The 17,437-nt window shown below is 34.0% G+C and overlaps 1 pseudogene; it reads left to right on the top strand.

Moving 5' to 3' along the window:
* EEF1A1P1 (eukaryotic translation elongation factor 1 alpha 1 pseudogene 1) lies at positions 1,593 to 2,626 on the top strand (annotated as a pseudogene).

The raw sequence follows: 17,437 nt of genomic DNA on the forward strand, positions 1-17,437 counted from the left end.
AATACAAATAAACAAGGTATCTAAACTCAATTTGCTTAGTTTAGGCCTGAAAAAAGAACCTCAATTACATTTGTATATCTGTCAGTAAAATTAAAAAATATAATTAAAATATATTAAAGTTAAACATGTAAACAGAAACAAGGATATTTAGATATGAATATAACAATGATATAAAATTTACCCAGAGAAAATTTTAATTCTCAATGAAGATTATTAGAAAAGATCTAGTTATGTAAAGATAATTTGCTTATGGGTGTGAAAGACCCATTACTGTAAAGGTATCAATTCTCTGTTAATTGATAAATTGAATGCAATTTAAAAATTTTTACATGGTGTTTACTTATAAAGAACATTGACAAGCTGAACCTGAAGGTTATAGAAAAGCAAAATAATAATGCTACCAAGACACTCCTGAGGAAGAGTAAGCAGGGTGGCCTGTCATTCTAGTTATCAATCTATTATAAAAACTGCAGTGATTAAAATACTGTGTCATGAACATCATCATTTTAAAAAAGATCTAAGATAGTTATTAGTGAACCCAGAAATTCAATATTACTTAGGTTATGTGAGAAGTAGAGTGTGTTTCAAAAGCCTAATTCTAACGTTGGCATAATAAATTCATATTCCAATGCAGCAGTAAGGAGTTGATGCCACCTTTCAGCTGCTGGAACAATGTCAGTGGATGCCTGCTAAAATTCAAATCTTAAATAAGGTCAAATGTTTCACCACATACTATCAAAATGTCAAGATTTTAATTGAAAGTTACTCATTATAGCAAGAATCTATAAGATCTCATGTTAAATAAAATGAGAAAATCAACAGATACTAAAACTAAGATGACAGAAATATTTAAATGATCACAAAAGAAATTTAACACAGCCATTATTAACTGTTTCAACAAGCAATTACAAATACATTTGAAACAAATGGAAAGAAAAAGAAAGTATGGCACAGAAATAGAAAGACACATAAAAAAATAGAAGATTAAAAATGTGGAAACTTTAAAACTGAAAAATTCAGTAGACAAAATAAAAATATATGTAAGTGTACTTGTATACTGAATATTGCAATATTAAAAAAAATATAAATAAATAGCACCACAAAGTTTATACATTGGAAGAATTATGGTGAAGATGTAAATTCTACCCAAATTGAGAGAAATGTTCATTGCAATTCCTCTGAAAATGCCTGTAATACTTTTCCAGACAAAAGTTAGTATTGTAAAAGTTTTATTGTAAAAGTTATATAGAAATAAGAGGAAATGAAAATAGCTAAAGCAACACTATAGATAATAAAATGAGTAGACTCACTCTAGTCAATACGAAAACTTAAATATGTAGCTACTATACTCATGACGGTATGGTTTTGAGAGGTAGAGATACAACAAAGATAAACAAAACAGAATGGAGTACCCAGAAATAACTTCCAAACAAGGACAGCCACCCGAGTTTTCATAAAGGTACAAAACAATTCCTGGAGTAAGGATGGTACTTTTAACGAAGGTGCTGAAGCCACTGGCAATTTATAAGGGAAATAAAAAACCACACCCTACATTAATATTACATAAAAATCAATCATAGACTTAAATATTAAATATGCCTTGGTTCAAGGGATAGAAAGTCACAGTAAGGATGGCAATGCCAGTGGAACCAAGCTGCTTGAGGCTCTGGACTGCATCCTACCACAAACTTGTCCAACTGACAAGCCCTTGGTGGTATTGGTACTTTTCCTGTTGGCCAAGTGGAGACTGGTGTTCTCAAACCTGGTATGCTGGTCACCTTTGCTCCGGTCAGTGTTACAACTGAAGTAAAATCTGTCGAAATGCACCATGAAGCTTTGAGTGAAGCTCTTCCTAGGGACAATGTGGGCCTCAATATCAAGAAAGTGTCTGTCAAGGATGCTCGTCCTGGCAACGTTGCTGGTGACAGAAAAAACGACCCACCAGTGGAAGCAGCTGGTTTCACCGCTCAGGTGCTTATCCTGAACCATCCGGGCCAGTTCAGCACTGGCTATGCCCCTGTGCTGGATTGCCACACAGCTCACATTGCATGCAACTTTGCTGAGCTGAAGGAAAAGATTGATATCTGTTCTGGTAAAAAGCTGGAAGATGACCCTAAATTCTTGAAGTCTGGTGATGCTGCCATCGTTGATATGGTTCTTGGCGAGCACATGTGTGTTGAGAGCTTCTCAGACTATCCACCTCTGGGTCACTTTGCTGTTCATGATATGAGACAGACAGTTGCCATGGGTGTCATCAAAGCATTGGACAAGAAGGCTGCTGGAGCTGGCAAGGTCACCAAGTCTGCACAGAAAGCTCAGAAGGATAAATGAATATTATGCGTAATACCTGCCACCCCGGTCTTAATCAGTGCTGGAAGAACAGCCTCAGAACTGTTTGTTTCAATTGGCCATTTAAGTTCAGTAGTAAAAGACTGGTTAATGATAACGATGCATCGTGAAACCTTCAGAAGGAAAGGAGAATGTTTTGTGGACCACTTTGGTTTTCTTTTTTGGGTGTGGCAGGTTTAAAGTATTAGTTTTTAAAATCAGTACTTTTTAATGGAAACAATTTGACCAAAAATTTATCACAGAATTTTGAGACCCATTAAAAAAGTTTAATGAGAAAAAATTTACTATTAGACTTTTAGGATATAACATAGGGAAAAACCTTTACAATCTACAGTTTTTTAAAAAGTTTTTATATATAACACCAGGAACAAGATCAGTTAATAAAAAAAGATAAATTGACTTCATCAAAATTAAAATATTTTTGTGCGTGCATTATTTTGTAAAGAGAATGAAAAGACAAGCTACAGACGGAGAAAGTATTGTAAAAGCACATATCCAAAAAAGGACTTATATCTGGAATATGTAAAGAACTCTCAAAATGCAACAATAAAAAATCCAATTACAAAATGTCCAAAGATACATAGAGGCATTTCACTGAAAACAACATTCGTATGATAAATAAGCACATCAAAAGATATCCAACATCACTAGCAATTAGGGAAATGCAAATTAAGACTACAAAGTGATATTACTACACACCTATTAGAACAGCAAAAATTTTAAAAAATTGACGTGACAATACCAAATGTTGGTGAGGATACAAAGAAACTGAATCCCTGATATACTGTTGGTAGAAATGTAAAATGGAACAGCCGCTTTTAGCAGTAGCTTAAAAAGTGGTTTGGAAATTTTGTAAAAAAACTAAACATATGCTTATCATATGATCCAGCAATTGCACTCCTAGCCATTTAAGCCAGGGAGCTGAAAATGTGTGTCTATGCAAATATCTCTACACAAATATTTATAGTACCTTTATTTATAACAGCACCAAACTGGAAACAACCAAAGTGCTCCCTTATGGACAAGTGCTTAAATAAACTTGGTACATCCATATAATAGAGTATGATTTAGCAACAAATAGTAACCGACTGCTGATGCAATCAACAGCTTGAATGAATCTTGAGGCTATCACGCTGACTGAAAACAGCTAATCTTAAAAAGGTCACATAGTATGTAAAACTTCTTACATAACCATAAAAAGTGGCCAAATCATAGAAAAGAAAAAACAAATTAGTGGTTGCTGAAAGGTAGAGTTAGGGCCTATGAGAAGATGGTGAACGGGACTGTAAAGAAATAGCACGAGGGGAATGTTCATGATAATGGGAGAGTTCTATGGCTTGACTGTGGTGATGTTTACACCAGCCTACACGTGTGATTGCACCATGTAGAGCTACACTCATACATTGTACCAATGTTCGCTGATAGTCATTGTTGATTTTATTTTTGTGTACTTGATATGCCATCTATACATTATTTTGCTTGACTTCCAAGCAACAACGTGGTGAAATTAACACTGTGGATATAATTTATAGAAAAATAATTTAGGTTACTGCTTTTACAATTCTATAGTTACCACTGCTATTGGACCAAAGGCCTAGTAAAAAAAAAATAAGGTGAAGTATACAGCTATGAAATATGAAGAACCTCCTTACCTGGTAGGAGGTGGGCTGTTGATTGCTGACATGGTCTTCTACAAGTCTAATGTAACTTAAGGCAGTAGCTCCTTCACTGATTGCCATTCTTTACTGTCTGAACTAATTCTATTCAAATGCGGGCAGGTTTGTATAACAATGGCAACAGAAATCCAGATAAAGTCACGTGTTGTCTTTTCTGTTTTATGTCTTCCTTTGCACTGCTTTTTGGCTAATAAAGCTATAAACCAAATGAGAGTAACCTTGAAATATGTCTTCATCATCCACGCCAGTTTTTACCTTTGGAATCCAGTCCATTATTAATACAATTCTTATGCTCATTAAATACGGTTACTTTGTACCTAGAATATTCTGGAATATCTCCCTTTAGACCATGAATCTGTGGTTTTGAGAATTAATTTAAAACATTTTCAAAAACCTTTGAATCTGTAAAAGAACAATTTTCAAATTGGAAGGTGCATGAGGTAGCAGAAAGATTGAGGAGCAGAGATCATCAGAATTCTTCATTCCAAGCCTCCTTCAGTGATTTGCTATTTGACCTCAGGCAATTTACTTATTTACACGGAGTTATCATTTTTCTAAATCAATAACTGGCATTTGGAAATTATACCTAATTATCTTAAAGAGAGTTTTTTTCCACAATAAAAAGACACATTGAAAACTTTAAAAAGAGTAATAATTAGCACAGGTTAAATCAAGGGAAGGTTTGCTGTCATTTGTCTGATATTGAAACAGCAGGAGATAAAAAGTGGGTGTCAAAATACAAAGAAAAAATTAAGACCAATAATTTTGAGTTATCTTTTCAAATTTGGTTAATTCAAAAGGAAGAATTACAATGGTATCTTGATTATTTTGTGAATTTTACAAACAAGTTCAACTTGCTCCCATATCAGTTGCTATTTATGGTGCAAAACAAAAGTGTGAAATGTTATTTTGCAGGTGAAGGACGGAGCACTTTAGTGTGGCTCCATGACATTGTATTCTTATTGCCGAAAGCCTTCATGAGAATTTGATGATGTTAAATTGTTACCTTCTTACTCTAGCTATTGACTTGAATTGATATTTGATCTCTTTATAAAGAAGAAAATAAAGTATAACTTTAAAATCGTATTTTGTTTTGAAATCTAACACACTCCTTGAAATCTAACACACTCACACAACAGAAATGGATTCATGAGTGACATACATTATTCAGCTATCAAACAATCACCAACAGTCACCTCAAGATAAGCTTAATAGGTCATTGCAGTTACCTTTATAATATTAGAAACATTTAGTAAAGAATATTAACTAGGTGACCCAAAATATACTGTCTTTTTTGGTTTCTTCTGCAATATATGACTAATTCATTGTAATGTTATCTTACCATGGCAATAATTTTTTATGCATGCCCCTTAGTCATATTCCTGATACTGTTTAAAATTAATAATTTTCTTTCTTGTCTATAGAATATTCAGTTTTTCATTGTTCACTTAAAATTTAATTTTTTTTCTCCAGAACAACAGAAAACCTATTTTGGGAAAATAGATATTTCTTATTGTATTTGATTTAGCTTCAGAATTAAATAATATGTTATAATCAAAGTGATTTCGAAGGCTAAGGAGGTATTATGGAAAGTGCTCTGGAAAGCTTACTAGAAACAAATGTTCTCAATGAACTAAAGATGAAGAGGATGGATGATCCCATAGCAGCACACTGTGATAATTTTTAACTGACTTTGTGAGTAATCTATTCTGAACCACACATAAAAGAAAAGAATAAAGCATTTTGTTCCCTACTTTTGTCATTCCTCGGTTAATGTTTTTTACAGAGAGAAAATGCAAATCAAAGTTACCTAGGTTTTTTGTATTGCAGCTGTCTTTAAATTAATTTTTTAAAATATCTTCACACACTTACCTATAAAACTATAGAAAAATAATAGGGTTAGATGGATAATGGGTAAATGAGATAATTATAAATTATCTTTAATAATGAACCAATACTGCCATCTATCGCTTCCAACACAAGTCCATTACACATTAAATTAATGTGCAATAGAATGAGGATATATGCCTTTAAGTCATTTTATATAGCTGAAATATCACAAATTTGATAGGCTAAAGTTACACTTCAGAATGTATTAGGTTATATACAGCACATATTTGTTACATTACATTGATTATATTTATTATCTTTTAGGACATAGCTTCCATTTATCAGAATTTATACCCTTTCTACAAAGTTTTATATCCTCTATATATGGTGTGAGTGTAGGGTCATACTAAGTGTCGGATGTTTGAATCCTGAGTAGAAACTATGGGTGTTGTATATAAATGGTATTCAGCTAAAAAATTAAATAAAGCAATCTGCATATATGTAATTTATGCAACCATACTGAGAATTTCCATGCTCAGTTTTATACAAAACTTGCTGTAAGAAACGAAAGTGAAAAAAAAGTCCAAAATCCTTCTTCCAAGAAGATATTCTTTCAGCAATTCTCCAACTTGCAGTATTGCTCTGGGCTTCATTTTGCCTCATATTTTAGTCTACCAGAAGCAAGTGATTATATGTAAAGTGAATCTGGCTTTCAGAGATCTACTTACCTGCCTGGACCCATTCATAATAAAGTCATAAATGCAAGAAAATAATTGAATGACATCCCGAATATGTTAAACAACAACAAAAGGCAATGAAACAGCAATCCAGAATTCTATACCAGCAAAAACCTTCTTTAAAAAAAGAAAGTGAATTTGAGACATTTTTGAAAGACATGGTGGCTCACACCTGTAGTACAAGCACTTTGGGAGGTCAAGGCAAGAGGATCATTTGAGGTCAGGAGCTCAAGATCAGCCTGGGCAACATTGGGAGACCTAATCTCTATAAATAATTTTAAAAAATAGCCAGGCATGGTAATGCACACCTGTGGTCCCACTGTTGGAGATGCTGAGGTAGGAGAATCACCTGAGCCAGGGAGTTTGAGGCTGCGGTGAGCCATGATTGCACCACTGCACTCCAGACTGGGCAACAGAGTAAGACCTCATCTCAAAGACAAGAAGAAAAATAAAAAGAAACACTCAGAAGATTTACTCTACAGGAAATACTAAGGAAGGAAAATGATCCAAATTGAAATATATTACAGCAAGAAGGATGTGCATCAGAAAGGAAAATTTTAACAGGTGACTGTTTAAGTACCAATTGTAACTATATCATGTAGGAATTTTTCCATTGGTGTTATTATGGTTTAATGTATATCCAATAAATTTCACCAGTTTTAGTTTACAGTTTCATGAGTTTTGGCAAATGAGTGCAGTCAGATAATCACCACAATAATCAACAATATACACCAGTTCCATCATTGGAGAGATTTCTCTAAATGTCCTTTGTGGCTGTGGCCAGCCTCTTCATTAACCCAGCATTCATTGTTTCAGGCCCCAATAATTTTACAGAGACCATATAAATAAAATCACATGTTACAAAAGATTTGGGTATCACTTATTTATGCATTATGATGTTGTGTATATCAATAGTTTGTACTTTTTGTCATTTAGTAGTATTCTATTGTAAGCAAATACCATTTTTTGTTTGTTTGTTTGTTTTTATTTCTCAGTTGAGGTACATTTGTTTTGCTTCCAGTATTGGTATATTAAAAATAAATATGGTATAAATATTCTGATATAGGTTTCTTAGTAAGCTTAGTATTTTGTTTCACTTGGAGAGGTATCTAGGAGTGGGATTATAGAGTCATATCGCAAGTGTATGCTTGATGCTCTAAGAAGACTTCCAAATTACTTTTCAAAATAACTGTAACATTCTGCATATTCAGTAATAGTGCATGAGAATTTCTGAACTTTGTGTTCCTATCAACACTTCTCATTGTGAATTTGTTTGTTTAGACGTTTTAATAGGGGTCTTTTGATACATTTGTCCAGTTTTTCTTTTGGGATACCTTATGACAAATGATGTTGAACATCTATTCTTGTACTTATTTGCCATCTGCATATCTTATCTGATGAAGTACTTGTTCAGATTTTTTTTTTTTTGAGATGGAGTCTCACACCGTCCCCGAGGCTGGAGTGCAATGCTGCAATCTTGGCTCACTGTAACCTCCATCTCCCAGGTTCAAGCAATCCTCCTGCCTCAGCCTCCTGAGTAGCTGGGACTACAGGCATGTGCCACCACTCCCAGCTATTTTTTTGTATTTTTAGTAGAGATGGGGTTTCACTATGTTGGCCAGACTGGTCTCGAACTCCTGACCTCCTGATCCACACACCTCAGCCTCACAAAGTGCTGGGATTACAGGCGTGAGCCACCGTGCTCGGCCCAGATTTTTATCCATTGTTTAAATGGGTTGTTTGTTTTCATATTGCTTGCAGGTTTTAGTTTTTGTTTTTTATTCTGGATACAGATCCTTTATATAATTTGCAAATATTTCTTCCCAAAATGTAGTTTCCCCCTCCTTTCTCCTAACACTATATTTCAGATAACAGAAGTTTTAAATTTTTATAAAGACCAATTTATCAATTTCTTTCTCTTATAATATATGCTTTTGGTATCATGTCTAAGGAATCATTGCTTATGCCAAGGTCCCAAAGACTTTCTTGTATGCTTAATTCTACAAGATTTTAAGCTTAAAAATATTGTCTTACATTAGGTCTAAAATTGGTTTCAAGTTTTTTATAGGAAGTGAGGTATAAATGAGGTATATATGGGGTATAAAAAGAGGCTGTTGTATATATGTATATATAGATTAAAACATATCTTTATATATACAAATATAAAAACATTTGTGTGTATATAAGTTGCATATAAATATATAACTATATATACAAATATGTATAATCAACATGTATTTATTATAGAATATGTTATAAATGACATATTGTATATGTTGTATATATAGTTAATATATTTATATAACTTTTATATAATTATAATGTTATATATTTAAATAACTTTTATATAATTATATGTTATATGTTGACTTATAGTTATATATAATTATATAAATGTTAAATATGTAGCTATATGTGAATATACAACATATACAATATTTCACATATAACATATATTCTATAATAAAAATATCCCTTTATATATATGGTTATCCATTAGTTTCAGCACAATTTGTTGAAACATTTTGTTTTTTATGCTTAATTATTTTTGCATATTTGTTGAAAATCACTGACTATATTTAGCATTTCTATTGCTTGACTCGCTCTTCTCTTCTACAAATTTGCATGTCCATAAATTCTTCAATATCATGCTATCTTGGTTACTGTAGTTTTGCAATCTGATAATGATTTGTCTTGAAGTCAGAAAATGTAAGAAACCTAACTTTGTTCTTCATCTTCATCTGTGTTTCTACCTGAAATTTAAAATCAGCTTCTCCAACACTAAAAATATCCTTCTAGTACTTTTTTTGTTGGTTTTTTAGTTGCGGTGATTTTGTAGATGACATTGAGAATTGACATCTTAATAATAATGATGTCTGCTAATCAACAAACATGAAATATTTTGTTTTATAGTTTACAACATAGACATTGCACATATGTTGGAAGATTTACACCTAAAAGTATTTTATGAGTTTTGTAGTGCAATTGTATGTGCTACTTAATTTTTGAATTTGTTCAAGCTTCTCCTCCTGAAAATGGTCTCTGTTTTTCTTTGTCTCTGTCTATGTTATTTGTCATAAAGAAGGGAACTATAAGACACAGACTTAAAACCCTTAGAAGCACGTTGCTCAAGCTGGGCCCAGAGACTGTTGAGTTTTGGATTCACATCACATAGGTGTTGGTTTAGACAAACTGTGCTGTGAGTCCCTGAGAAACAATAGTGGATGAAGTTCCCCTTTGTCCTTTTGTATGACTTGAGAGCTTGGCTTTTGTGACCAAGTGAGAACACCCTCTCTTAGTCCCTGCCAGCAAGACGGGTTATTGTCAGCCTACATCATGTGGCCAGTCTAAGATTTCTGACCCAGAAATCTTCATACAAGGTGTTGGGGAAAGGATTAGAGAGCCAGCCTTGTCTCCAAGTCCTCTATAGAGCAGGGTCATTTTTACAACCAGTGTTAGTTAATCTATGGTAGAATTTTGATTACAGAAGCAATAAACACAATCACAGAATATTTTTTCTTGTGTTGTTGTTCTAAAAATGTTATACCTAACTCAGAGCAAAATTACCCCCCTGGTTCCCTTTCTGACTTCATTTCCCATCACTGCCACCCCCTGCTCTCTCCACACCTCCCATGCTGGCCTCATCCTTATGGTTTTTCCACAATAAGGGTAATTAGTTTTAGGTGCTTCCACCTCCTCATCTGTCTGGCTCCAACATTCTCCCCTTAGATCCTGTACCATATGCTCTCTTTTTTCCTTATGGCCACTGTTCAAATGTCACCACAGCAGATAATCTTTCCTTGATTACTCCGCTTAAAGTACATTCTCACCCCAGCAGCTCTGTTTCCTGCTTTAAAGCACCCATCCAAGATGACATATATATTTAACAATTGCAACCTACAGCTGGAATACAAGTTCCAAGAGGAAATAATTTTGTTTTGTTCACCAATTTACCTTCAACACCAATTTGTAAATTTGTGGTCCTAGTAAACATTTAAGAGTTCAGTTAGACTAATCCAGCTGTAAAATAGTTTCAGTGGTGATATGTAATTTTTTACTATGCACTTCTATTATCTACAGTGATAGCAAAATGCTATTTTGACAATGCAACATTAAAATTTTGCAAGCCTGTTCAGAACATATCAATTGCATAAACATGAGAATTAATTTTATTACATTTAATATTTTACATTTAATATTTTATAGTTTTAGTTGCAACACTGTTTTAGTGTCTTTTTTGCTCTACAATTTATTAATAAATAATTTAAAGTAGGATTTTCATAATATATTTTTAAACACATATTTTGTTTTACTATTTAAGAGAAAAGTTAAAAAAAGGACAAAACAAAACAAGCATGGCATATATTTACTATTCGTTTTCTTTCAACTCCCTAACACATTTGCATTGTATTAAATGAAATACATGATTTCTATAAAGCCATCTGATATTATTATAGGAGGGAGCTAGATGATAAGAGACAAGTACTTAATGTTTTACAATCTTACAAAATATTCATTTAATGACCGTTATGTATAACACTGTCAACCTGGATATTTAGACCATTCACCCCACATACCCTGTTTATCTCTGCTAAGCATCACATCCCCTAAACTGAGCTAGTTAAGTGCTACATAATAAGTACATCTTTGCAAAAGCTGTTAAAAGGAGCATAAAACCAAAATCAAACCCCAAACTTAGTGGGAGACACAAGTACTGGAAAAGCAGAAAACATGGGTTTTATTATTTAATACACAGAGACCTATCAGCACTACATCAGAACTTTGAATTTCAAGAGGAGAGAAATCGTCTTCTTTTGTGTAATTTGTTTCTGCATGTATTAGTTTGTTCTCATGCTCTTAATAAAGACATATCCTGAAACTGAGTAATTTACAAAGGAAAAAGGTTTAATTGACTAACAGTTCCACAAAGCTGGGGAGGCCTTACAATTAAGACAGAAAGCGATTGAGGAGCAAAGTCACGTCTTACATGGTGGCAGGCAAGAGAGCTTGTGGAGGGGAACTCTCCTTTATGAAACCATCAGATTTCGTAAGGCTTATTCACTATCAGGAGAACAGCACAGGAAAGACCCATCACCATGATTCAGTTACCTCCCGTGTGGTCCCTCCATGACACGTGGGAATTACAGGAGCTACAATTCAAGATGAGATTTGGGTTGGGGACACAGCCAAACCATATCACTGCAGAGAGCCAATTTCTATTTTTTCCATGTATTCTATTTTTCTCATATGGTTGGGTTTGGAATAGTAATAAAAACAATATATATATCTAGATCATAAAACATGCTCTATGTAAAATTATTTACAGACTCATAAGACATGCAAAACTTTTAACTCACATACAAAAGACACAAATATGGTGATTCAGTGACCACTATAAATATATTTATGTAAGCATGGTTATGATAGATACGTAGACAAAATAATAAAAGGTAAATTGGAGTATACAAATCATTAACAGATGCCAGGCTCGGTGGCTCACACTTGTAATCCCAGCACTTTGGGAGGCTGAGGCGGGCAGATCATGAGGTCAGGAGACCGCGACCATACTTGCTAACATGGTAAAACCCTGTCTCTACTAAAAATACAAAAAATTAGCCAGGTGTGGTGGCATGTGCCTGTAGTCCCAGCTACTTGGGAGGCTGAGGCAGGAGAATCGCTTGAACCCAGGAGGCGGAGGTTGCAGTGAGCCAGTATCATGCCACTGCACTGCAACCTGGGTGTCAGAGTATGACTCTGTCTCAAAAAAAAAAAAAAGAAAAGAATTTATTAGACGAATATAGGAAAACCATAATTAATAAAATGTACTTCTTATTTACAAGGTTTTAGATTCATTGCCCGATAGTTTAGTATTTGTTAATCTGGTAAAATACATAATTGGGTATGGGTGAAGCAGCTATAAAAGAGACTCCCCAAACACAATATTTTAATCTAGTTTTATCTCTCACTTAACAATATGGCTGATCTGGTGGGCTTGATGGTGTCAGAAACGAAGTCTCCATCCATTTTTGAGTTTTGCCATTCCCACATTCCCACATGCTATTGCTTGGTGACATCCAGCCATGAGGTTAAAATTAAAAAAAAAAAAAAAAAAAAAAAGAAAGAGAGGGAAAACTCATATTCTTTGAAGTAAATTATTCTGCAAATATTCTGCTTATATTTCATTGGCCCAAACTTAGTCGCATCATGCCACCTTGAGGTCATCTGAAGTACTAGGCTGAGAAGAAAATAATTTGCATGACTTAATATTTGCTATTGGTTAGCTCCCACACCTGACCCAGAAATCTTCATACAAGGTGTTGCGGAAAGGATTAGAGAGCCAGCTTTGTCTCCAAGTCCTCTATAGAGCAGGGTCATTTTTACAACTAGTATTAGTTCATCTATGGTAGAACTTTGATTACAGAAGCAATAAACACAATCACACAATATTTTTTCTCGTGTTGTTGCTTTTTCCATCCAGTTCTAGTAAATTTTCAAGCTCAATTTGCACATGCTTTGTCTTTCAAAATATCCCAGGGCAGCACTTTGGGAGGCCGAGGTGGGCGGATCTCGAGGTCAGAAGATCGAGACCATCCTGGCTAACATGGTGAAACCCTGTCTCTACTAAAAACACACAAAAAAATTAGCCGGGTGTGGTAGCGGGCGCCTGTAGTCCCAGCTACTAGGGAGGCTGAGGCAGGAGAATGGCGTGAACCCGGGAGGTGGAGCTTACAGTGAGCCGAGATCGCGCCACTGCACACCTGCCTGGGCGACAGAGCGAAACTCCGTCTCAAATATATATATACACATATATATATATATATATATATATATATATACACACACATATATATATATATGTATATATATATGTGTATATATATATACATATATATATATATACATATATATATATATATATATGTATATATATCCCAAGGAACATTCTTACCATAACTTAACAAGGATCTGAGTAATATCTAAGTCCTTTTTCCTACCTAATCTTTAATCTACTAGTGGGGATGTCATTTAGATTTTGGATTGTTTATTGTTTTTTGGTTTTGTTTTTGTAGTATGTTAACACATGTTTGTACCAATATTTCTCTTGGATATAATAATTAATAGGTGACTTCAGCAAGGAACTCCAAAATCAGAGTTCATGTTTTCCTTCTGTAATAATCTAAATAGTTTTTTTTAAAGGCAAACATCAAAATGTTGAGGTGTTGAAGACCCAGGTTCCCCCCATGTCTAGCTGTACTATCCCTAGGATGGATTACCTGTTTAGATGAGGATACCTAGCCACTAAGCCAACATTCCAGCTTTTAATAAAGGAGAAAAAGAGAAGGATGACACATCTTTCTTACTAAGGGCCAGCCTACGGTGACATACATCTCCTCTCCTCAATCGTTGCCTAGATGCTAGCAGTATATCCACCCTAACTGTAATAAACATTGGACAGCTGTGAACAGCTATGAAACATGAGAAAAATCATATTGTTATGAAATAAAGGAGTAAAGGTATTAAAGGTACAACAAAAAGCTAAGGAATGTACAGAGTTTTAATAAGTCAAAATTTAAATAAGAGACTAGCTTGAATCAAAATGAATTTTAAATCCAATAGGCTATATTGTTAGTCTTCACCATGGGAACAAGGACACCACTAACAAACTACAGATCACTTTAATTTTCTTGAAAACCATTTGCAAATTAAATTCAGAGGAAAATGGTTACTTAAATATATAATTGACTTGTATTTTAGGGAATCAGATTTGGCATTTGACTATATATGTGCACAAACATAAAGTATGGCACACAACAAAAGAGTATGATAAAAATCGGAACTGAAGCAAATGAACTGCTGTATCTATAATTGAGTTTGCCTAAGAAATCTTCCACTCACTCTTCTTCTATAGCAAGGCCCTTTTTAATATCCTGCAACAGCTGATTGCCTGATTAATGTCCCATAAAATGCATAACTTGCTATTATGAATGACCTGGATTTTGGCAGGAAAAAGGATAGACAATATTATAAGTGAAACACGAGCTATAAATTATCTTTTGCTAGCATTGAATGCAATTTTAGACTTGCAAACATTCATAACCAAAACCTTTCCTTTTGAGTGTTTCAAAAGGATTTTTTCATAGTTTAAGCATGGATCAGAATGTGCTGTTTATAATGGACTCTGAAAGATTACATTTGCTTGATAAAACAGTGACACAATAGAGAGTGTTTCACTTTTCACTTACTGAAACAAGTGTTTGACACATGGTAAACATTCTATACGCATTAGCTATTGTATCTTACAATATCTGTTAAACAGAATCAGGTTATTTTCTAAAAGGATAGAATTAGATCATACTTTCTACTTGACATGAATTACTTATAAAATAATTTTAATGTCTATCTTGCCACGGTTGTAAAAGTTTTATTTATTTAAGCAAATTAAGCAAAAAAAGCTTACCTTCTGCTATGTAGCTTTCAGTGTAATTAATATAGTCATTGACTCACAATAGTGAATTTAGAATTTTCAAAAAAGACATTTCGTTTAGTGAGAAGTGATGCGGCTTCTCTGGAACCTGACTACCTCAGTTAGAATTCTGGCTCATCCTCTCACTAATGGTGTGAACTTGGTCATGTTAATACGTATTTCTGTGTCTTCTTTCCTTGTTGGGAAAATGGGAATATAATTAGTAAATACCTCCTTGTGATAGTGCATATAATGTATTTAGAAGAGAGTTTTGTACAGAATAAGAGTTCAATTAAGTGAAGCCAACTATTATCGTTACTTATTGTTGTTTCCGTTACTATTATTTCCTTAAAGATTTATCAAAACAATAAACAAAAGGAAAACATGAAAACATGCCTCTTTAAGTCTAGTAATAACTTTATGCAATTTATTTTTACTTCCGAGAAAATAAAATATTCCCCCTAAATGTACTTCTTATTAGTCAAAGTCTATCTGTTTAAAATCAAAGTCTTGGCAAACTTGATGTGACAGTTGCCTAACTTGTCAAAACTATTTACTTTTCTTTTTCCTTTTTTTTTTTTTTTTATTGAGCGTATAAATGTGACAGAGGGAGCAGGCATGAGAAAGTAGATCATGTATCATTTCCTAAAAAGGAGAGTAATCATAAAATAACAACATTCCCTCCAAAAAGGAAAAGGGCTATTGTTGTCATGACAGACCAATGGAGATTATATGAAAAACCATTTCTTGGCCAGGTGCGGTGCCTCACGCCTGTAATCCTAGCACTTTGGGAGGCCAAGGCGGGCAGATTGCCTGAGCTCAGAAGTTCGAGACCAGCCTGGGCAACACAGTGAAACCCTGTCTCTACCAAAATACAAAAAATTAGCCAGGCGTGGTGGCACATGCCTGTAGTCCCAGCTACTTGAGAGGCTGAGGCAGAGAATCGCTTGAACCTAGGAGGCAGAGGCTGCAGTGAGCTGAGATCATGTCACTGCACTCCAGCCTGGGTGACAGAGAGAGACTCCGTCTCCAACAAACAAACAAACAAACAAACAAACAAAACAAACAAACAAAAAACCAAAGCCAAAACAAACAAACAAACAAAAAACATTTCTCCATTCAATATGTAAACATATCACCCTGAATCTCCTTTCTCACTTGTGAAAACTGACATTCGGGTCTCTGTGATGTTTTCACAAAGTATGTGACAGTGGTAGACACAGTTGTACTGCCAAATTGGCCAAAGAGTTTTGTTTTGTCTTTTGACAAATTCTTGCTCTGTCACCCAGGCTGAAGTGCAGTGTGCAGTCTCAGCTTCCACAACTTCTGCCTCCTGAGTTCAAGCAATTCTCGTGTCTCAGCCTCCCAAGTAGATGGGATTACAGGTGTATGCCCCCATGCCTGGCTAATTTTCCCGTATTTTTAGTAGAGACAGGGTTTCACCATGTTGGCCAGGCTGGTCTCAAACTCCTGGCCAAATGATTCAGCCGCCAGAGCCTCCCAAAGTGTGGGAATTACATGTATGAGCCACTGTGGCTGGCTCCAAAGAGAGTTTTTAACAACAGTAGTAAAATATCTGTTGACATTTTTAAGAAGTGAGGCAATATTTTTTTTCTATTATTCCCCTTAAGTATTAAGAGTACATTAAAAAATCTTTTTGCTGCATTACTATACTTAGCCAGATAATTATTTAATAATAATAGCCATAGTTTCTTGAAGAAAAAAATTCTATTCTCTTCACTTAGCTGCATCTTTATATTTTAACAACAAATAACAAGTGTATAAAGCTTACCAACTTCTCTATATGAAATAACGAAAAACATATTTTTCTCCTAGTTAATCTACTTAATACATGATTATATATTGCAATATGGAGAAAATAAAAATCTAATATTTATAACAATCACATCACATAAAGTCAACTTTAATCCATGAGTTGTCAACATCATGACCAAAATTATGTTAATATATTATTGTAGAATATTGCAACTCAATAAGAAATTATAAGTGCATTGATTTTCCTTCTTACGAGGGAAAGATTAGGGCACTATCAATCAACAGTTCTTAGTTTTTGTATTATTTTCACCCTTACAATTTAAGACAACATTTTTCTGAGCTAAATGGAGTCAAAATAATACTAAACTCATTTATATAAACCTTTCATATTAGAGTTTCTTGTGGGAAAATACATGTTAACTTTAGCATTCAGGCATAAAAAAATAGAAAATAAAAAAGACACTCAAAATATATATTTACTTATCCCATTTAAACAGGTTACTACAAATATTTTCCTTTATTACTGAAAATGTAAAAATGTTAATTTTCACAATTAAATTATATGTCTCCTTATATTATTATAGATTTTTTCCTATCACATAAAG

This window comes from Homo sapiens, chromosome 21 (assembly GCF_000001405.40).
Source record: "Homo sapiens chromosome 21, GRCh38.p14 Primary Assembly".
Classification (NCBI taxonomy): Eukaryota; Metazoa; Chordata; class Mammalia; order Primates; family Hominidae; genus Homo; species Homo sapiens.